A 23833-nucleotide genomic window follows, 5' to 3' on the forward strand; every position below is an offset into this window, starting at 1 on the left:
GTTGGCCAGGCTGGTCTTAAACTCTTGGCCTCAAGTAATCCACCCACCTCGGCCTCCCGAAGTGTTGGGATTACAGGCGTGAGCCACCGTGCCCAGCCTATGACTTCTTACTATCTCAAAAAATACAGAATACTTGGAATAGTAAGAATCATTTTAAAAATGTTAATTTTTTGAAATACACTCTCTACTTAAAGGATGATATGTGGACACAGGAATTTTCCTCAAGTAGACTGTGGAATTATAATTTTATAATGCCCCAGTTGATAGCGCAGGAGTCCTAACAAAAGAGAAAAACAATTAAAGGAAGCTACACTTTTCAATTTATGCAACCTGGATTGTATTTGTGGTCTATACTGGATATGTTCCAGTTCTATATCACAATACAAAATTTCCTCAAAGCTAACTAGCCCAGACATCAATTAAATAGGCTGGTAAACAGATAGGCCAACATGGGTATAATTCATTAATTGATCACTGCCAGCCAGCCAGCCGTTAGATAACTATATTTCTAGCAAACAGAGATAATTTCTCCTGAATAATTGAGGTCTTGCAAGAGTTAACAAATTAGGCTGGGTGTGGTGGCTCATGCCTGTGATCCCAGCACTTTCGGAGGCCTAGGCGGGTGGATCACTTGAGGTCAGCAGTTCGAGACCAGCCTGGCCAACATGGTGAAACCCCGTCTCTACTAAAAATACAAAAATTAGCTGGGCGTGGTGATGGGCACCTGTAACCCAGCTACTTGGAAGGCTGAGGCAGGAGAATTGCTTGAACCCAGGAGGCTGAGGTTGCAGTGAGCCAAGATTATACCACTGCACTCTAGCCTGGATGACAGCGTGAGATTCTGTCTCAAAAAAAAAGAAAAAAAAGAGCTAACAAATTATTTGTAAAGAGGAAAGTATATTCAATTGATGGAGAAGATGCAATATATATAATTACCTTGATTTTATAGTTATAAATAGTAATGGGCTCTGGAAAGATACATACACAAAATCATTAAACCACCAGAAATGACAGAATGCAAGGCAATCATTAAACTACCAGAACCGACAAGTTTTTTTTTTTTTTTTTTTTTGAGACCGAGTCTCACTCTGTTGCCTAGGCTGGAGTGCAGTGGTGCAATCTTAGCTCATTGCAACTTCCACCTCCTGGGTTCAAGCAATTCACCTGCCTCAGCCTCCCGAGTAGCTGGGATTACAGGTGTGGGCCACCACACATGGCTAATTTTTATTTTTTTAGTAGAAACAAGGTTTCACCATGTTGGCCAGGCTGGTCTCGAACTCCTGGCCTCAAGTGATTGGCCTGCCTCGGCCTCCCAAAATGCTGGCATTACAGGCGTAAGCCACCATGCCCGGCCAAAATGACAACATTTTAGTATTGTACTTTTTTTCAAGAATATACAGTTATTTCAAATATTTTCAATTTTGCATTAACATTATCATAGTTTAGTGGGTTTTTTAATAGTTCAGTAGTTTGAGGGCTGAATTTTTTCCCTCGTAATGAAAAATCTTATAATAAAGATAAAGGGAATTCTTTAGGATGCTGCAAAAAAGATAATTCTTCTCTTAAAATTAATGTTACAAGACTCTTGGTTGCTGTTGACATCCAGATCAACAGACACATGATGATCTTCGGAGAAAACATGTTCAAACTCTGAAAAGCACGATCCATGGCCACCAGGTGCTTTAGAGATCACTTCTTTGATGGGGGTACTGTGACGTTACTCCTCCAAAAATAGTGCAAATACCAGCAGAAGGTGGTGCTACACTTTTTTTATTTGTTTTATTTTTGAGACAGGGTCTCACTCTGTCACCCAGGCTGGCATGCACTGGTGCAATCATTACTCACTGCAGCCTCCATCTCCCAGGTTCAAGTCATTCTCCCACCTCAGCTTCCTAAGTAGCTTGGACTATGGGCATGTACCACCATGCCTAGCAGATTTTCTTTTTTCAGTAGAGACCAGGTCTCACTATGTTACCCAGACTGGTGTTACACTCTTCAAACGACTATTTGGGGGAAGAGGCTTCTTTTTTTTTTTTTTTTTGAGAGAGAGAGTGTCTTGCTTTGTCACCCAGGCTGTAGTGCAGTGGCGTGATATCAGCCTCCCAGGTTCAAGCGATTCTTGTGCCTCAGACTCCCAAGTAATGGGGATTACAGACATGTGCCACTACACCTGGCTCATTTTTGTGTTTTTAGTAGTGATGGGGTTTTGCCATGTTTTCCAGGCTGGTCTTGAAGCGGGATATTTCCCTGACCTCTTCGTGGGATTGGCAACAGGGGTGCCTCATTTACTCAGCCTATAGCTCTCGACTCCTCATGGGAGGGAGCATGTGAGTGAACAAGGTGGGAACCGGAGTGCACGAGTGCTGGAACCTGCTGTTCACTTTGGTGCCAGCAGGGGCAAACTCCACTCACTTGGACCTGCTGCATTCCTCCCCATGTGGGAGGGAGTGCACAGGTGAGCATGTGCAGGAGCTGGGGTGAGCACTTTTGAGGCCCCATAGCATGACTGGGGAGGTGGTGCCCACAACCCTTGAAGCCCCAGAGGGCATGTTACAGTGCTCTTTTAGCTCTGCTGTCCATGGACAGCTCAGGTGTTAACAGGTCCGTGGGCCCTTTTGTTTCCGCGCCTGTGGTTCCCAAGCTCTTGTCCAGCATCCAGGAAAAATGAGGTCGCACAAACAAATTGAAGGATGGTAAGTGTGGGGGATTTTATTGCTGATGAAGTGGCTCTCAGTGGGAAGGGGAGATTAAAGGGGATGGGGGTAGGTAATCTTCCCCTGAAGTCCAGCTGTCTTTGGCCAGATTCTTCTTCAAAGTTATGTCACCAAGCTGTTACTCTGAAGTTAAGCCACTTCTCTCCGATGTCCAGCTGTAGTCTCCTATGTCCAGCTGCTTCTCCTCTCTGCCGGCTGAGTCTGGGGTATTTATAGGCACAGGATGGGGGGTGGACCATGGATGGTTTAGGAAAAGGCAACATTTGAGTGGGAAAACAGGGATAGAAGTTCTCACTTTGGGCCATGGCTTTTCCACGAGGGTGGGGCTTCATCAGGGACCTGCTGTTGTCTGCCTAGAGTTTCTCTACCTCCTGTTGTTACCAATCTCAAACTCCTGGGCTCAAGCAATCCACCTGCCTTGGCCTCCCAAAGTGCTGGGATTACAGGAGTGAGCCACTGTGCCCAGCCCATGAAGAGACATTTTTGACTTAGTTCTCTTAGTTGTACCAGGAGACATGCATTCCAGCCCTAGATGTTTTTTTGTATTGCACAGTCATACAGGGCAGAGCATCCAGAATTTGAAGGCACTTGGCTGAATACACTCATGTGGAAGCTGGGTGCCCTTTTCTGACCTTTGAGGGCCTCCTGAACTGATTGGAGGGCTTGGTTTGTGATGTGGTAGTCTTTAAGTCACTGGCAATGAATATATAACCTGAACCCTTACTTTAAGCCCACCAAACGGCCTTTTAAACAGATGCTATGGTGTGGCTAAAACACAATATAAAGAAAAGATATGGAACTTCCTGGGAATTTGGAGAAAAAGTCCCAAAAGCTCCTGAGACTGATGACAACACCATTAATGAACCAATCTTGCTGTGTTGATTTCCTGTGATCAAGTCCTTCTATATGCACTGACATCCTGAGCATTCCTGTCTTACTGAATCTGTCAGTGTGTTGATGCTGAATGTTGGTGAGACTGTGGGAGGATCAATGCATATCTGGGATAATGAAGAAATGCCTGCAGGTTTATAAAAAGGAAGGGATTGACCCTACTCCCTATTACTGGAATACAGATCAGAGAAAATATGGTATATGTCATCATGGAGGATATGACTTGGGCCTAGAATGATTCTTCTTAAAAAATTATGTTTTTAAGATAGGGTCTCACTTGGTAGCTCAGGCTGCAGTGCAGTGGCACAATTATAGCTTACTGTAACTTCAAACTCCTCAGCTCAGGAGATCCTCTCGCCTTGGCCTCCCAAATTGCTGTGATTACAAGTGTGAGCCACTGTGTCCAGCCCTTGGGATGATTCTTCTCTTGGATTCTGAAGTTATCACATCTAAGATGCATGCTTATACCATTGATTTGTCCAGTGCTGCAGGCCATAACTGATTACTTCTGAAGCATAAAAGAAACAATATGGTTCAGGAAAGAAACAGGCTGCCTCTTTAAAAATAAACAAAAACAAAAAACCCCCAAATATAAAAAGCCAGAATCTTCCCTTTCTTGTTCCACTGGGGTAAAACTGTTTCCATTTTCTCTTTTTTATTCCTAATACCATAAAAAGTAGCCCAGGCTGGGTGTGGTGGCTCAGCCCTGTAATCTTAGCACTTTGGGAGGCCGTGGCCAGCAGATCACTTAAGGTCAGGAGTTTGAGACCAGCCTGGCCAACACGGTGAACCACCATCTCTATTAAAAAAAAAAATTACAAAAATTAGCCAGGCATGGTGGGGCACGCCTGTAATGCTAGCCACTTGGGAGGCTGAGGCAGGAGAATTGCTTGAACCTGAGAGGTGGAGGTTGAAGTGAGCTGAGATCACGCCACTGCATTCCAGCCTGGGCGACAGAGCAAGACTCCATCTCAGAAAACAAACAAAAAACAAAGTTTTGGGGAAATATGTGGTACATAATTCTGTAGTTAGGAATACATTTCAGCATTTTATCTAATAATGGGCCATAATTTTGGGATTATATATATATAATTAAACAATTTTAAATATTGGTTAAAAAAAGTACTCTTGAGTTATGTATCTATTCCATTAAGTCCTATTCTCTAGGCCTGTATCATATGATACTTTCCATAAAGTTGATCTTGGAAGCTCCAGTTTTCTTCTCTGGGCTCCCTTAGCGCTATACTCATAGCTTTTTTTTTTTTTTTTTTTGAGACAGAGTCTCGCTCTGTCACCCAGGCTGGAGTGCAATGGTGCAATCTTGACTCAGTGCAACCTCCGCCTCCCGGGTTCAAGCAATTCTCCGGCCTCAGCCTCCCAAGTAGCTGGAATCACAGGCACCCGCAACCATGCCCGGCTAATTTTTTGTATTTTTAGTAAAGATGGGGTTTCACCGTGTTAGCCAGGATGATCTTGATCTCCTGACCTTGTGATCCACCCGCCTCGGCCTCCCAAAGTGCTGGGATTATAGGCGTGAGCCACCATGCCCGGCCAACTTTTTTTTTAAATAAATAAATTTTAAGCCCAAACCTCACCATCATACCTCTTTTATAGTAGTTACTTATATCTTTTCAAGGGCCTTAATGTTCCCTTAAGTTGACGGTGAAGTTTGTTTTATATAAAATTTAGACTCAATATTTTATTAACAGAAAGGTGTTATATCCAGTGTTATTTTACATAAGCTTTTAAGCAATGGGCTAAATAGAATGACTTAACTAGTAGCTTTGTCTCTATTTCTCCTCTTAGAAAAAAAATTAAGCTCAAGACAAATATTATACCATTTTGATGGTTTCATCCAAGTTGCTAATCAACATTTTTAATTTGTAACGTTACCAAGCTAATTAATATGCAACTGCTTTATTACAACTAGACTCATTAATATCTAAGCATATAATCTATTCCCATAGAAACTGTAGAGGGCAGGCCAGGTACAGTGGCTCATGCCTGTAATCCCAGCACTTTGGGAGGCCGAGGCGGGCGGATCACCTGAGGTCAGGAGTTCAAGACCAGTCTGACCAACATGGACAAACCCCGTCTCCCCTAAAAATACAAAATTAGCCAGATGTGGTGGCACATGCCTATAATCCCGGCTACTTGGGAAGGCTGAGGCAGTAGAATCACTTGAACCTGGGAAGCAGAGGCCATTGCACTCCAGCCTGGGCAACAAGAGCGAAACTCCATCTCAAAAAAAAAAAAAAAAAAAAAAGAAACTGCTGTAGAAAATAATTAAAAAAAAACTTTTTCCCCTATTCTATTAGCGAAAGACTTTTTAGTTGTAATTTGGAGAAATGTAATTGAAAATATCTTCAACAAAGAGTGAGGAAGGCTCCTGAGGGAGCCCGGAGCGCTGAAAGAGGAGAAAAGCTATACCTTGATGGAATCGGGATTGCCAGTTTTCCTGTCTCCAGCATGAATGCTTGGGATCAGAAAGATGAGTTCAAACCCCAGCTGTTAAGCCTTAATTTCATTATCAGTAAAGATACATTTAATAGTTCAGGGTTGTATTAAATAAGGCGATTTAAGGAGATACATTTAAGAGTAGCTCAAATTTCCTAATTCCATTACACTGGACATAAAAGGTTTTTTTCCTAATTACTGACGTTCATATAAGCACCTTTAATCCAAATAATTCAGGATACTAGAGTACTGAGTAGAAATCTTAATGTGTAAGAGCAAACTAAATGAAACAGCTAAAACAGACAAAACACTTTTTTAAAATCCCTAAGTCAAATTAATTAGTTACATCCTGAGAACAACCTAGTTCAGCATTTGCCTTGGCAAAGAAGTTATGAGTCCTCATCCATCCTGTACCAGTGCAATTCAATAGCTATTAAGTGAGCCAAGTTACAGAAGACATAATTTCTCCCTATGAAGTGGTACAGTCTAAGAGGGAGACAAGATAATATTAAAATGCAATGTGAGCTGGGTGTGGTGGCTCACACCTATAATCCTAGCACTTTGGGAGGCCAAGGTGGGAGGACAGCTTGAGCTCAGGAGTTTGAGACTAGACTGGGCAGCATATGAGTGAGACCTCATATCTACAAAAAAAATTTTTAAATTAGGCTTGGAGACACACATCTGTAGTTCCTGCTACTTGGGGGGCTGAGGCAGGAGGATCACTTGAGCATAGTAGGTCAAGGCTGCACTGAGCTGTGTTCACACCATTGCATTCCAGCCTGGGCAACAGAACAAGACCTTGGCTTAAACAAACAAACAAACCACAAATTGCAATGTGATTTTTTATGCATACAAGAATGTATTAAGCACTATGGAAACACAGATGAGGAAGCAGTTAAATTGGTGTAAGAGGAAGTTAAGAAGTGTTAAGGAGAGTTACCAAGGAAAGGTGATATTTAAGCCAGGCCTAAAAGGAGTGGGCAATCACCAGACAGAAGACAGGAGAGAAAAGGACATTTTAGGTAAAGGGAACAATAAATATACACTCAATGCCTAGAGACACTTAGGAAGAGACAGAGAATCTAAACCATCACAAATAATGCTCCAAAGAAAGGGCTCTTCTGAGAAAAAAGGCTGATTTTCTGGAATCCATGTGAGAGAAACCAACCTGCCATCTTTTGTTGGTAAAATAATTTAAAAATACAAGAATGATAATGAAAATTAGCTTTATTTATGTAATTTAGAAAAAATGATTGTAGTGTTAGAGTTTGTCAAATGTTTTCACTCTGAACAATTTACAATAGTATTTATATACAAACATAATAAAATAGGTACATCACATTGTTCTTGCTTCAAAATGTCTTCTCAATTCTGACATGCTTCTATCACTTCGGTTTGTAATTTTTAAGAGGGAAATGCTCTGTTTTGACACAGTGCTTGATTCACACAGTATAACACTGAAGTAGAAGGAGAATCAACAATCATGAACACAGTTAAAAAATATTTTTCAACCAATATGACTTTATCATTAATCTTTTTTCTATAATAAAATGTTTCCTGTTAAAAAAAATACTTGTATTCACCTGATGACCTAAATTTGTTGTACTAAATTTGGCATTTATATAAACCCATAGTTGATCTAAATACAATGTAGATATGAACCTAGGTTAAAACTCATTGATACAAATGTTTGCCACAAATGAAAATGAACAAAATTGGTAAGAACAGAGGTAAACAGAAAAATCCATTTGAAAAATAGTGGAAATGGCTTATTCTATTTAAAATGAGTAAGACTCAATTTCTGAACCCAATATAAACTAAACCAAAAGATGGTGGAAAACCATGATATAGACACCAAATCTTATGTTGCACTGTAAGGCTGTAAGTAATTTGTACTATTGTATACTGGATAATCCTAGACCAGGTTTCCTAAATAGCTCTCCAATCATTTTATCTTCTTGGAGAAATCAGAGAAAGTTTAATACAATTACTGAATAAGGCAGAATTTTTTTTTTTTTTTTTTAGATGGAGTCTCACTCTGTCGCCCAGGCTGGAGTGCAGTGGCACAATCTTGGCTCACTGCAACCTCTGCCTGCCAGGTTCAAGCGATTTTCCTGCCTCGGCCTCCTGAGTAGCTGGGATTACAGGTGTGTGCCACCACACCCGGCTAATTTTTGTATTTTTAGTAGAGACGGGGTTTCACCATGTTGGTCAGGCTGGTCTCAAACTCCCGACTTCGTGATCCGCCCGCCTTGGCCTTCCAAAGTGCTGGAATTACAGGGATGAGCCACTGTGCCGGGCCAAAGCAGAATTTTAAATCAGCAATTGGGATACAATATTAGTGCAGATAATTTACACTAGAGTCATATTTATATCTGTCACAGTATTAAGTATACCACATATGTATGGACTGTTAGAAGAAATTCATTTCATTTTTAAAGCAGTGGATTGTTTAGTAAGTTTAGTTCTTTAGCACTTTCTTAAAATTCCTGGCAAGTTAGCTCCATTGTCTTTTTAAATAGAAAAACAAAACAAAACAAAACACAAACCCCACGCACACACACAAAAATGTTAAGTATGCTGTTACTTTGAAGAGTCACAGCTATTTAAGGTAAAACAATCAACTAGACCTCTAAGGGCACTTGTGTCTACAATGTCCCTTTTGTCACCAAAGGCAATGATCAAGTATTTATTATATTAAGGTGCTTACTATTCCAAAAAAAAAATCAGAGGAAACTGGTCTTTAATTGGATGCTTGAGTTTTTTCCAGGACTCTTAGTATATTTAGATGTTGGTATCTTGACTTTGACACTTTCCTGATTGCCCTTTATAGCAGCCTCAAGGCGGGCTTTTAGGGCTGGAGAAGAAGCCACTAAACTTTTAAAAACAGATGAATACTGAGGTCCAATTTGCATGAGATTTTGTAGAGCAAAGTCATGTAAATTTCTCATTATGGAAGTTGCTGATCCCAGAGAATTTTCATCCAAAAGGAAGGAAATGAGGATGGGCAAAAGACAGGCCACCAGCTGAGCGCCTAGAAAGTAAACAAATAATATAAGTTCAGTGACATAAATGTTTCTAACAAAAGCCTGCAAATGCACTTGATCTGTATACATTTTTCCCCACTAAAGAAAACAATTCGTCCAATCTCTTCTAAATTAATACTAAATAATATCAATACTTGGGATTAACATAACACCTTTCAATGAATGTGAAATACAGATATAATGTGACTGATTGTTTTGCAATTTAAATAACAGTAAAATTCTGATTTTTGTTGAGACTGAGTATGAATTTAGTGCTGACACTTACGATGGTGTTCTTCAGCAACAGTAACCAGTGTTTCTAAGACCTTTATGCCTTCTTGGAAGATCTCAAGCTCAGCAGTGTTTTCAGGTTTTCTCTTGTCTATTTCCTGCAGTTTTTCCATGATACAGGATGCTAAAGAGTAAATGTATGGGTAGGAAACAGCTGGATTTGGATACTGAAAGATGGAATGTAGGAGCTGGTAGGTCTTGATTTGTACCTAATAAGGTAAGAGAAAAGAATAGCAAATACTATAAATAAATTTTTAAAAAGTCCCTGAGGACTCTTTGCTTTTTAAAGTAGTGAAGGTATTTAAATTTATTTCTAATTTGTGTTTAATTTTGAAAGTCCAAGGGCCAACAGGTAATCAAACATCTATGCTAACAGTGGTTGTGACAGTTTGGAATGGGAAAGAGGCATATAGGTAAACAGGGAAGCAAAGCTGAGTGTTAATTTTTCTTCTTTTCTCTAATTCCCATTTTCCCCCTCATGTCTTTCTCTATAATGTAAAAAACAAAAACACCACCAAAACCCCTCCTGTAACATTTTTTTTTTTTTTTGAGTGCCCAGGCTGGAGTGCAGTGGTGTGATCTCAGCTCACTGCAACCTCTGCCTCCTGTGTTCAAGTGATTCTCCTGTTTCAACCTCCCGAGTCGCTGGGACTACAGGCGTGCACCTCCACACCCAGCTAATTTTTTGTATTTTTAGTAGAGACGGGGTTTCACCTCGTTGGTCAGGCTGGTCTCGAACTCCTGACCTCAAGTGATCCACCTGCCTTGGCCTCCCGAAGTGCTGGGATTACAGACATGAGCCACCGTGCCCAACCTCCTAACATTTTTATGGGTAGAAAGCAAAACAAAACAAAACAAAAAAACACCCAAAACAAAACACATACAACCTTGAAAGATATTTTGTTGATTTCAGAAAATGTTTTAGACAAAAATGATGTATTTGATGTTCAAATGTCATGGTCTGAGTGTTTCAAGGAACGTCTGGACCATACTAATGTGTCATCAGGCATCAGAGTCCCGACTTGGAGACTGCTATACAAAGCTGCTGCAGGCAGCAGGCAACAGGACAGACGATAAAAGGAAATGACTATACATCAAAGATATAAATAAACTTTTATTGAGTTAACTGTAATGGTATTTTAATAATTATTTTTTCTGAGAGAAAATCTGGTTCCTGTATCTTCAGGAGTAGATATATGTGTGATCATTGGCTATGAACTCACCTAGAGGCACATAAAAAATAGGACATTACTCAAGCAAATGAAGGGGACATAAAAGAATGGGATAAATTTGTGTGTATTGCTTTTGGAATGGGTCCTGTTATTTCACATTCATATTACTGAAGGTATGTGCTGGAGTCTTTTTTTTGAGACAGCGTCTGGCTCTGTCATCCAGGCTGCGGTGCAGTGGCATGATCGTGGCTCACTGCAGCCTCAAGGTCCCAGGCTCGAGTGATCCTCCTGCCTCAGTCCCCCAGAGCAGCTGGGACTACAGGCCTGCTCCCCCACACCAGGTTAATTTTTGTATTTTTTGTAGGGATGCATTCTCACCATGCTGCAAGGCTGCTCTCGGACTCCTGGCCTCAAGCAATCTGCCCACCGCGTCCTCCCAAAGTGCTGGATGGAATTACAGGTATGAGCCACAGTGCCTGGCCTCCCTTTCTTTTTTTTTTTTTTTTTTTTTTTTAAATAAAATCCACTATAATATGCTACAAAGTATCTTATAAAAGTCCCTTATAAAGTTCCAGTGCTACATCAATCTTAAGATTCCTCCACTTCAAATTCAGTTTCTTAACATTTCCTCTTCTGCCACTATGCTCTACCCTTAGGGCTGAAGAACAAGACTACTGTTATTTGGCTTTGTCACTCCTGAAATAGAAATTAATCTTAAATCTAAAAATAAAAAAATTGTAGTCTAATACTTCCTATTGGAGCCAACAAAATCACACAGAAAATTTTCTAAAGGCCTAGCCATTGTCCTATTACATACATCTTTCTGCTAAAAGACACTTACCACAGGATCTTTTATCTCAAGAGTAGCTTTAAATTTATCAATACAGCGCTTCTGAAGGCATGGGATGGTAGTTACTTCTGGACTGGTAGACAAAATAAACACTGTGATAGCAGTAAGTAGACTGACTTCATCAAGTTCTTGGTGTGTTTCATCAACTAAAGAGAAATGCTCTATTAGAAACAGTTCATATTTACTGCTTTATATACCTGTGTGAAGCTGTCTTCAGTTTGGTAGTAACAGTTTGGTGTACACAACAGATACACACAATGAACGCTGACTAAGAACCCTGGCAAAGGTACATTTTAAGATGTGCATTATAAGTAATTCTAGAGCTAAGAACTACCAAAGTAATTATAATCTTTAAAGGTTAAGACATCAGTAAATAAATACATACATTTACTAGGAATACATATTTATTAGTTGTGTGACTTTGGACATCTAACTCCATCTTCAGTATTCTCATCTGTAAAATGGGAATAACAGCAGTACTCACATTGATAGGGTTGTGAAGATTAAATGAGTTAATCCATGTGAAGCATTTAGAATAGTATGCTACACATGACGCTCAGTATATGCTACTTATCATGTTAATTATTTTTACTGTGAAGCAACACAGAAATGCTTGCACAATTGTTTTCTCTTTGTTAAAGTATTTTTATAATACATGTATCAAGTGAAAATACGTTAGCACTTTACAAATATGATTTCTCAAGAGTAGAGAAAAACCTGAAAACAGCTGTGTAGGCCACAATCATTTGAAGGAATTTTCTATTAGAAGTAATCTACCTTTATTTTCTAGTCATACTCTCATTAAATAATTTTAATGAAACTGCTGTGGAAAAAAAATCACTGTTATTCAAAAAAGAAAGATGTAGCAAATTCAAATATTTAAATTGTTTAAGAATGGGTTGATACTTATGAAGAAATGACATATGTAGTAGTTTTGGTCACATTCATTCAACAAGACTTAAGAAACACTGTGTGCCAGCCCTCTTTTAGGCACAGAGAATACATCTTATAGAGAAGATACACTATAAGCTGAGAAGCAAAGACTTTCAACTAGTGATAAGGTCTAAGCATATAAAAATATATTAAAAAGCTGGCTGGGTGCGGTGGCCTGTAATCCCAGTACTTTGGGAGGCTGAGGCAGGCGGATCACTTGAGGTCAGGGGTTCGAGACCAGCCTGGCCAACATGGTGAAGCCCGGTCTCTACTAAAAATACAAAAATTGTCCAGATGTGGTGGTGCATGACTGTAATCCCAGCTACTCGGGAAGCTGAGGCAGGAGAATCACTTGACATCAGGAGGCGGAGGTTGCAGTGAGCCAAGATTACGCCACTGCACTCCAGCCTGGGCTGCACAGGGAGACTCCGTCTCAATAAAAACAAAACAAAACAAAACAAAACAAACATCACACCAGGAGCAGTGGTGTGTGTCTATAGTCCCAGCTACTTGAGACACTGAGGTGGGAGGACTGGTTGAGTCCAGGAGTTCAAGGCTGCAGTGCACAATGATCGTGCCTGTGAATAGACACTGCACTCCAGCCTGGGTAACACAGCAAGTCCCTGTCTCTTTAAACAAACAAACAAACAAACAAACAACATTCAAAGTAGCTCAGGACAGCCTATCCTGGGTGATCAGAGAAAGCCTTGAGGAGATAATACCTGAGCTGACTATACTCAAGAGGCACAGTAGCAGTGAAAGCAAAATTTTATGGATGAATAGGATTTATTTTATAAAAGACATCTGAGTGATTTTAAGGTAAAATAAGTACACAGTTAATATTTAAAGTTAACATGTAGCACTGTTATAAGCACTTTATATACATTAAATATTTAATCAACATAACAGCATCATGAGGTAGGTACTCTTATTATCTCTCATTTTATGGACAAGAAACACAAATTCAGTCATTTGTCCAAGTCACACAATTAGTAAGGCAGAAAGCTTGATTACAGAGAGTGTACTGTTAACTATAATGCTATACTGCTTCCCTTACAGCAAAGTTATTTTTAACCACCTATAGCAACTTGAAACTGCAACAGAGTCAGCTAATTTGTTTAGTAAAAATGTCTTTATTCTCAGCAAGATAAAGTTCTCCTGGGTTCCTTTTACCATTTCTTCTAAAATATCTTTATTCCTACTCTCTTTTACCTAGGATAGATGCACAATTCACTTAGCTAGCCATATGAATGAGTCATCTTGGAAATGAATCCTCTAGCTGCAGCCCTGGCCAACACCTTAACAGTAATTTCATGAGAGAACCTAAGCTAGAACCACATAGCTAAACTGCTCCTAATCCTGGACCCATAGAAACTGTCAGATAATATAATATGTGTTTGCTCTTTTAAGCCACTAAGTTTTGAGGCAATTTTTTGGGCAGGAAACATTTAACCTGTCATGACCAACTCCTTAATTTCTCTTAGTAGCTAGTCTAAATCCTGTCCTAGCCTAATTCCCTGATACACATCCAAAAACAACAACAACAAAACACAACCCATTTTTTTGTGTGTGAGATGAAAGAAGCAAGCTCATCATAAACCTCAACATGAATTATTATTATTATTTGTAGAGACAGTATCTTGTTATGTTGCCCACACTGGTCTTGAACTCCTGGCCTCAAGCGGTCCTCTTGCCAAGGCCTCCCAAAGTGCTGGGATTACAGGAGTGAGCCACACTGGCCAGCCCTCAACATAAAAACTTGTAGCTATAATATTATTTTCCATCCTTACCTGCTGTTCTTTCCTCATATTGGCAGAGGTCAATCCTGTTAAATGTGCTGTAAATTTTATTCCTTCTGCCTAGACAGGGACGCTGCTTTCCTTTCTAATACTTCTATCTCCAACCCCATGTCCACCTCCTTTTTTTCCCCCGTTAAGTATGAACTCATGCTTGAATGTCACCTTAAAAAAAAGTTATCCCTTGACCTTACACTTTCCATTTAGCTATTTCTCTTCTTCCTGTGAAGAGAAGCCTATACTTGATCTTTCCCATGCCTTACACCTCTCATTTGTGCCTCACCACTGTGAGCTCTATCCCCCACACTGTTTGGCCTCTCTACAGTATTTTATAGTGCTGACCACTCCCTCTTTATTAAAAACTGGCTTATGTAATTACGTTATCTTCTGAATCTCCTCTAACCTTGATTTTGGTCCTCTTCTTGCTCCAGAAACTCAAGCTGGGTGATTTCAATTGTCCCATAGGTTACACTGACAGCTCCCAAATACACACATAGTCCAGAAAGTATCTCTAGCCCAGACTACTTTTGAAATAACCCTCACTTGGTTATTTCTGTTAATCACATTCGAGTGTTCAAGTCATCCTACGCTTTCAACTCCTAAATCAAACTATCAGTAAGTTCTGTTGAAAACTGCTTAACATTTTACTTTTCATCATTTTAATCCTTTTTGTCCATACTATTATTATCTTATCTCCCACAGTTTGGCTTTCTTCTTTACACTGCTGCCAAGAGCGAACCTTTAGAAACGCAAATCCAAGCATATTACTTTCCTTTTTAAAACCCTTTCGTGGCCAGACACAGTGGCTCATGCCTGTAATCCCAGCACTTTGGGAGGCCAAGGTGGGCGGATCATCTGAGGTCAGGAGTTCGAGACCAGCCTGACCAACATGGAGAAACCCCATCTCTACTAAAAATACAAAAAAAATTAGCCAGGCGTGGTGGCACATGCCTGTAATCCCAGCTACTTGGGAGGCTGAGGCAGGAGAATTGCTTGAACCTGGGAGGCAGAGGTTGTGGTGAGCCAAGATCGCGCCATTGCACTCCAGCCTGGGCAACAAGAGCAAAACTCCGTCTCAAAACAAACAAACAAAAAAACCCTTTCGGCCGGGCATGATGGCTCATGTCTGTAATCCCAGCACTTTGGGAGGCTGAGGCAGGCGGATCACGAGGTCAGGAGTTCGAGACCAGCCTGACCAACATGGTGAAACCGTCTCTACTAAAAATACAAAAAAAAAAAATTAGCCAGGCCTGGTGGTGAGCACCTGTAATCCCAGATACTCAGGAGGCTGAGGCAGGAGAATCACTTGAACCTGGGAGGCAGAAGTTGCAGTGAGCCGAGATTGTACCATTGCACTCCAGCCTGGGCAACAGAGCGAGACTCCAACTCAACAACAACCACAACAAAACATTTCATTATTCCACATGCCTATTAAAGGCAGTCCAAATCATGCCAGACCCTCCATAATCTGGCCCCATGTACCATCCAACTTCATTTCTTTCCCTACTAATTGCCATTCACGACTCTTACACACTCTTCCATCCAAATCCACACCCCCTCATTGTTCTACTTGCCTTCCCTAGCTATTTAATTCTCCAAGTTTTTGGTCAAACTGTTGTACCTAGAATCCATTTCTTTTTCTTTTTTTCTTTTTTTTTTGAGACAGTCTCGCTCTGTTGCCCAGGCTGGAGTGCAGAGGTGTGATCTTGGCTCACACGGCAATCTCTACCTCCCGGGTTCAAGCGATTCCTAGAATCCATTTCTATGATGTCCATGTGGAGAAAACTTTCTAATCCTTTAAGGCGTTGACTCTTCTGAGAAGCCTCTAGTGGTGGATACAGAGATGCACCGAGAGATCCCCTTCAAGGGAGAATGTGCTGCCCAGCTGTGGGAAGTGTGATCAAGGGTCAGCTCCTTCCGGATCAGTCTCAGCTAGAGATGGCTGTCTTACCTGAGATCAAATCCTTCCTGGAGCAGTCCACATTTGAAGTCCAGGCCATTTCTGTCATATGTTAAGACACTCTGATGGGCAATCTGGCTCCAGAGCTCCTCAGACAGATTTACTGAGATTTGTTGGGAAACTGTCACAGTTTGACTTCTTTTGCCCAATATTGCCTTCCCCTCTTCCCTTCACAGATGTTGTTTCTTAATAAACTTCTTGCTCCCCAAACTCCCTCTTGGTGAGTACTTTTAGAGAATCCTACTTGTGACACTCTGCCTGATTTCACTTAAACAGTACTAATTACTCCCATTTTTTAAAAAAAACCAGTTAGAATTTTTTTTTATTGTACTAGAAATGCAGCGATAATTAAGACATTACTATTGCCTTTGGGAAATTCTTAACGTAATAATCACACCCTACGGCAATTTATAGGAGCCAGGCTCCACCAGATTCCCAACTTTGGGCAAAGTGGGTGGTCAATAAATGCTGACTGCAGTTGAAAACATTTTATATGTAAAATGAAATATGGCAAATTGTGACATTTATAAACAAAACTGGGAAGGCAGGGAAAATGCATACTGTGTCTAAAGACTTTTTATAATCACTACAACACACTAGTGAAAATAAAAACCTCATAAAAATAAGAAAAAAAGAGAAACAAGTTTTTTTGTTTGTTTGTTTTTCTGAGATGGAGTCTCGCTTTGTGCCCCAGGATGGAGTGCAGTGGCGCAACCTTGGCTCACTGCAACCTCTGCCTCCCAGGTTCAAGTGATTCTCCTGCCTCAGCCTCCTGGGTAGCTAGGATTACAGGTGTGAGCCACTGCACCCGACGAAAAACAAGTTTTAATGGATGCTGAAAATAATACTGGCTATCATTTATTGATATATGCCAGGTAATAAGTGAGATGCGTTTCACATATTAAGTTACTGCTCTAATAATTTCTTGCAACATAATATCCTTATTTATTACTCACTACAAGCTCTGCCTCCTGGGTTTAAGCAATCCTCCTGCCTCCTGCCTCTGCCTTCCGAGAACTGGGACCATAGGTGTGCACTACCACACCTGGGTAATTTTTGTATTTTCAGTAGAGATGGGGTTTCACCATGTTGGCCAGGCTGGCCTTGAACTCCTGACCTCAAGTGATCCGCCAGCTTCGGCTTCCCAAAGTGCTGGGATTGTAGACGTGAGCCACCGTGCCTGGCCCCAGAACACAGCTTTCTTTTTTTTTTTTTTTTTTTTTTTTTTTGAGACAGAGTCTCGCTCTGTTGTCCAGGCTGGAGTGCAATGGCGTGATCTTGGCTCCCTGAAACCTCCACCTCCAGGGTTCAAGCAATTCTCCTGTCTCAGTGGAGTAGCTGAGACAGCATTGGGTAGCTGGGATTATAGGTATGTGCCACCAGAATCGGCTGATTTTTGTATTTTTAGTAGAGATGGGGTTTCACCATGTTGCCCAGCTGGTCCTGAACTCCTGACCTCAGGTGATCCACCTGACTTGGCCTCCCAAAGTGCTGGGCTTACAGGTGTGAGCCACTGCACCCGGCCAATTTTCTATCTACTTATACATATCCTCTAAACACATAGTATTGAATATGGTCTCCTCTAGGTGATATGGCCAAATATGATCAAGTAAAATATCTTATCCTCAAAAAACTCTTCTTCTCACTTTTTAAGACAAACTGAACTGCTTCCAAATAGCCTCAATTACCTGGATCCCAACAGTCAAGAATTGTTGTTAAGGCACTTCGGAGAAGGTCAGTCCAAGCAGTACGGCTCTTTTCTGCCCGGGCCATGGGAGAAGATAATATTCCTTTTAGAGCCTGTAGGGAAGCTGCAACTGTCGAAGATAACTGGCCCCCAGGTAACTTCACAGCAGTCTCTCTGAGGACCCCGATTGTGAGGTACAATATAGTAGGGAGAATTGAGATGCTTCCTGTAAGATACATTTTTTAAAAACACACTGGATTTCAACCTATATATATGGTTTCTAAAAAGAAATCATCAAGGAGTAAGACAATGTCAGATTTTCAGTTTTTAAAAGATGATTTCTAATAAAGAATTATAACTGTTAAGATAATGTAAGTAGCTTTATTAAAATTTTTATGGATGGATTAAATCTTGATGGTTATAACTGGAGATTACGTTTAAATAAATTGTGTGAGTATCATTATGCTTATGCTGTTTTTGTTTTCTTTGGCAGTCGATAAATGAATTTATTTTTATTTATCTTTTACTGTGGTAAAATATATACAACATAAAGTTTACCATTTTAACCATTTTTAGTGTACAGTCCAGTGGCATTAAGTACATTCACAATGTTGCCTGGGCAACACAGTGAGACTTCATCTTTACAAAAAAAAAAAAAAAAAAAAAAAAAATGGCTGGGATGGTGGTGTGCGCCTGTGGTCCCAGCTACTCAGGAGGCTGAGGTGGGAGGACTGCTTGAGCCCAGGGGGTTGAGGCTGCAGTGAGCTGAGATTCTACCACTGAACTCCAGCCTGGGCACAGAGTGAGACCCTGTCTAAAAAAAAAACCAACCAACTAACAAAAAAATAACACCTTTAGTGGCTGAGTGCAGTGGCTCATGCCTGTAATCCCAGCACTTTGGGAGGCCAAGGCGGGTAGATCATGAGGTCAGGAGTTCGAGACCAGCCTGGCCAATATGGTGAAATCCTGTCTCTACTAAAAATACAAAAATTAGCCGGGTGTGGTGGCACGCGCCTGTAGTCCCAGATACTCGGGAGGCTGAGGCAGAAGAACTGCTTGAACCCGGGAGGCAGAGGTTGCAGTGAGCTGAGATCGCGCCACTGCACTGCAGCCTGGGTGACACAGTAAGACTCCATTTCAAAAAACAAACAAACAAAAAACAAAAAAACACCTTTAGCAGAAATATGTTTACCAATTAAGAAGCATCTACTAGGTACTAAATACCTATAATCTGCTAGATTTCACAGAATATACAAGATTTAATTGGAAACAAGACATTTCTCTTTTATATGTAATAATCAATTACACATAATGCCTCTGTAGGACAGATACAAGCTACAGACCTACATATGGAAATAACACATGCATATACACGAAAAAACAAAACTCAGATGAGCTAGAGTTTTTAGGGAAGCCTTTATACATGAGGTAGGCCTGCAGTTGAACCATGAAGAAAAATTTTAAAAAGCAGATAAGGGTCATTTCAGATCAAGTAACGACACGATAGCACAGAACAAGGATGAACATGAAGCCTCTTGGGTTTAGGATTTGCAAAGAAGGAACTGAAAAAAGGTAACGATTAGCAGAGCTACACAGAGAACCTTAAATGCTATGTTAAAGAGTATGGACTTGCTGGGCATGGTGGCTCACACCTGTAGTCCCAGCACTTCGGGATGTCAAGGAAGGAGGATCACTTGAGGCCAGGAGTTCAAGACCAGCCTGGCAACACAGCAAGACCCCATCTCTACAAAAAATTAAAAAAAAAAATTAGCCAGGTATGGTGGCACAGGCCTGAGTCCTAACTACTCAGGAGGCCAAGACAGGAGGATTGCTTAAGCCCAGGAGTTTGACATTATAGTGAACTATGACTGTTCCACTGCACTCCGGCCTAGGTGACAGAGAAAGTACCTGTGTCAAACAAAAACAACAACAAAAAAGAGTATGGAGTCAATTCCAAACAGAACCAGATACAATGACAAACTTGTGCCATCACTGAGGCAGGAAAAGTCTGTTAGAAATTGTATACCAAAACATGCCCAAGCACTAATAATTGCCACTGACTGGTCAGAAGTACTGTCAATCATAGAAGAGCATATCTATAATACTTGCTATCTCTATATTTTCACTCTCTCTTTTTTTTTTAGACATAATTTCACTCTTGTTGCCCAGGCTGGAGTGCAATGGCGTGATCCTGGCTCACTGCAACCTCCGCCTCCCGGGTTCAAGCGATTCTCCTGCCTTAGCCTCTTGAGTAGCTGGGATTACAGGCATGTGCCACCATGCCTGGCTAATTTTGTATTTTTAGTAGAGATGGGGTTTCACCATGTTGGTCAGGCTGGTCTCGAACTCCTGACCTCAGGTGATCCACCCACCTTGGCCTTCCAAAGTGCTGGGATTACAGGCGTGAGCCATTGCGCCTAGCCCTCTATATTTTTACTTTTAGTAAAACAATTTATTAAAATGTAATCCTAATCTTAGAGGATTAAAGACAATACCCAAATGTTTGGGTCAGCATTCATTTAAAAAGAAAAAGATTAGCAACTAGACTCCATTATCTATTAAAACCATTTCTCTTCTAGGTCAAGTCAAGCAATCACATACCACAGCATACCTTCAGGAGAGCACACTGCAGGAAGTTCGGAAAGGATAACCAATGCAGCTGAAACCAATCTACTTCCATCTTCTAATAGTATCTGTGGCTTCGTAGCTTTTACTCCTGGGCTACCTGTCAATTTAGGGTTTAATTCTGGGAGCTGTCTAACTAGAATGCATACACACAATTCCAGTGTTGCAAAGACCAAAGACTTTCCAGGCACAAGTCCTCCGGTGTCCTTTCCCTCTCCAAACTCTGGCAGAGTTTCCTTTTCAGCAGCCCCATCATCAACTAAAAGAAAGAATAGTGTTTAATACTTTGTGCTTGCTCTGCTTCTGGTAGATGGCAATTTAGTTAAATCCTGTTACAGGAAATACATGTATTTTATTTTTTTGAGACAGAGTCTCGCTCTGTCACACAGGCTGGAGTGCAATGGCATGATCTCGGCTCACTGCAACCTCTGCCTTCCAGTTTCAAGCGATTCTTCTGCCTCAGCCTCCCAAGTAGCTGGGATTATAGGCATGCACCATCATGCCCAGCTAATTTTTGTATTTTTAGTAGAGATGAGGTTTCACCATGTTGGTCAGGCTGGTCTCGAACTCCTGACCTCAAGCTATCCGCCTGCCCCGGCCTCCCAAAGTGCCAGGATTACAGGTATGAGCCACTGCGCCCGGCCAGGAAATACATTTAATGACTAAATTTTGGGTGTTAAAGACTGAGGGAGAAAGAAGTTATGAAGGTAAAAGTAATCATCTTTATTATGACTTCCTATTGCAATTGCTCAAAAGAAGTCTTTTTAATCCTGTCAGCCTTACAATATTGCCTGGTTAACTCCTTCTTGCTGTTAAGACTGTAAACCTGATAGCTAGAGCTCCAGAAATTACCATGTGACCTTACGTATCGATGGTGGCTGGACAGAAAGACAGAAAGTCACATCCTTAATGTCTTTAAGAAGGTGCCATGTCAGCCCTAGACTGCCTATCTCTGGCCATCTATTTAGATGAGCAAATAAATCTTTGGGGTTTAAATCCACTGTTATATTGGGTTTTCTATAATATGTAGCCAACTATAATCTTAAGTGGTAAACTCTCCAATACCATATTAGACTTGTAAATGAGCAATCTGCAAACATAAGTTCTTTCCATGCACGTTGGTAAACACAGCTAAAGCAAGTATTCTAGTAGCGTAAGGGATTTATTTCTTCCAGGTTTTGTTAAAATTCTCATTTCACCCAGAGAATAGTAATTTAACTACTGACAATATCTAAACTAACATGTAGAGGTGAATGAGAAGATTTAAAACCATGCCAGGCTAGGCATGATGGCTCATGCCTGTAATCCCAGCACTCTGGGAGGCTGAGGTGGGTGGATTGCCTGAGTCCAGGAGTTCGAGAGACCAGGCTGGGCAACATGGCCACATCCCGTCTCTAATAAAAAATACGAAAAAATTAGCCAGGCATGGTGGCATGTGCCTGATGCCCTAGCTACTCAGGAGGCTAAGGTGGGAGAATCACCTGAGCCTGGGAGGTTGAGGCTGCAGTGAGGCGAGATCGTGCCAATGCACTCCAGCTTGGGCAACTGGAGTGAGACCTTGTCTCACTAAATAAATAAATAAATAAATAAAGCCATGCCTAAAGACTCTACTTTCAGGGATCATTTCTATAGTTCATTACTAGGGAAGTTTCTCTCAATGTGTAGAGCACAAAAAGTAAAATAAGGCCATGCCTAGACATGTTTTATTTGTACCACACACAAAAGATTATCAAAACTATATAGATACATTAAATAATACTTTACAAAAGAATGATGCTATTTGATCAACTCGGCATTAAAGGTTAACATTTACCTTCTGCACTTCGTCTTTTTTCCTTCACATGTTCTTGAGCAGCACAGATAATCTGCCTTACCACTTCAAGTGAAGCCAACTGAATGGAAGGTGATTCTCTGGTTAAAATTACTCGATGTAGAACATTCAGCAATTCTATACCCAAGTCCTATCATGGAAATCATGTACAGGACACTGTATTAGAAATTATACATTTCTTTTGTAAAAAATACCAATGCTAAATGCCATGACAAAATTCAGAAAAACAGAATGTAACAAATTGCTTTAGTGCAATAAAGTTAAGTAACGCTCCATTTTAAATCAACTCCAGAGGCCGGGCACAGTGGCTCATGCCTGCAATCCCAGCACTTTGGGAGGCTGAGGTGAGTGGATTACTTGAGGCCAGGAGTTCGAGATCAAGCCTGGCCAACATGGTGAAACCCTGTCTCAATCTGATTAATGCTTTAAACCTAATAAAAGTTAGTATTAAACACTTAAATAATAGACAGTCTTTGCAGAGGAAATTATACTACTCACTTATCTTAACATCCAAGAGTCAATAACAAAAGTAATCTACTTGATAAAACTTGATATCAAAAGTATCTGCCCAATGCATACTTGCCCTTGAGAAAAGCACTCAAAGAGAAGTACCATACTTTGTACAGGAACCCTTTTCCCATGGCCACACCCAAGTCAGATATTAGTACCTGACTCCACCTGTAGGCTAGCCAGCAATCTCTTAAAAAGACCTGGGGGGAGAACTTAGCCAACAGGAATACTTTGTAATGGACTGTAACTACATGAACCCATTAGATTCTCTCTTGGGGAATGGAATATAAGATACAGGTATATACACAAAAAGCAGGGTATGCAGAAGCAAAAAGAGACAAAGAATAAATGCCACATGTAATTAGTGGCTACTGTCCTGGACAATGCAATATAGAACCCTCCCATCATTGCAGAAAGAAGCAGAGACAGAAAAGCGGCAGAGTAAGAGGCATGATTGTTTTTGGGTCAACACATATGCTTATGGCATTCTGGTTCCAAGGCCTAGCTGTGAGGCTGTATGGTTTAGAAAAAAAATTTCTGTGTGTTTACTTTCTGTTAACTATAGAAACCTGAACATGTTTCTCTTCCTTAAAGACTACAGAAGCCTTACAAAAAAAACCCCAGATAAATCACCTGATCACTGCCAATTTTTGATCTGGGCCAAGGTACATCTAGAAGTGCTTGCAATGCATGTAAACAAGCAGTTATGCTTTCCATGGTTGCATCTGAACGTAAGGAACATAGAAATTCCACGCTGATTCCTGTGGAAAGCAAAAAAAGAGGAGGAGGCTTCTTTCAAATTATTAGTTTATGAAATTAAGTAATTAATCTTATATTTTGGTAAGATATATAAACAAACAGTAAAAAGGTAATACAAATAAATCACAATGAATTTAAGACTAAACAATTAAATGACAAGTCACTTAATAGTCTGTTTCTATCTACATGTACAAAAAAAATAATCTATGCCGGGCATGGTGGCTCACACCTGTAATCCCAGCACTTTGGGAGGCCAAGGTGGGCGGATCATCTGAGGTCAGGAGTTTGAGACCAGCCTGACCAACATGGAGAAACCCCGTCTCGACTAAAA

At 40.6% G+C, this 23833-nt stretch overlaps 1 protein-coding gene and 2 pseudogenes across 1 annotated transcript in view; 2 read left to right on the top strand and 1 right to left on the bottom strand.

Annotated features, from left to right (window-relative positions):
- On the top strand, positions 1595-3848 carry NARS1P1 (asparaginyl-tRNA synthetase 1 pseudogene 1; annotated as a pseudogene).
- Positions 7272-23833, bottom strand: part of HEATR5A (HEAT repeat containing 5A) — a 128763-nt gene continuing 112201 nt past the window's right edge. The window contains exons 30-36 of the mRNA NM_015473.4: positions 23377-23504; positions 22216-22363; positions 20389-20661; positions 17779-18003; positions 11393-11547; positions 9375-9588; positions 7272-9096 (exon numbers count right to left, since the gene is read on the bottom strand). Coding sequence (NP_056288.2) covers positions 8789-9096; positions 9375-9588; positions 11393-11547; positions 17779-18003; positions 20389-20661; positions 22216-22363; positions 23377-23504 — 1451 coding nt within the window. The 3' untranslated portion in view covers positions 7272-8788. The remainder of the gene's footprint in view (positions 9097-9374; positions 9589-11392; positions 11548-17778; positions 18004-20388; positions 20662-22215; positions 22364-23376; positions 23505-23833) is intronic.
- Positions 22004-22084, top strand: LOC124903438 (uncharacterized; annotated as a pseudogene).

The sequence above is a fragment of the Homo sapiens genome, chromosome 14, assembly GCF_000001405.40.
Source record: "Homo sapiens chromosome 14, GRCh38.p14 Primary Assembly".
In the NCBI taxonomy this organism is placed as follows: Eukaryota; Metazoa; Chordata; class Mammalia; order Primates; family Hominidae; genus Homo; species Homo sapiens.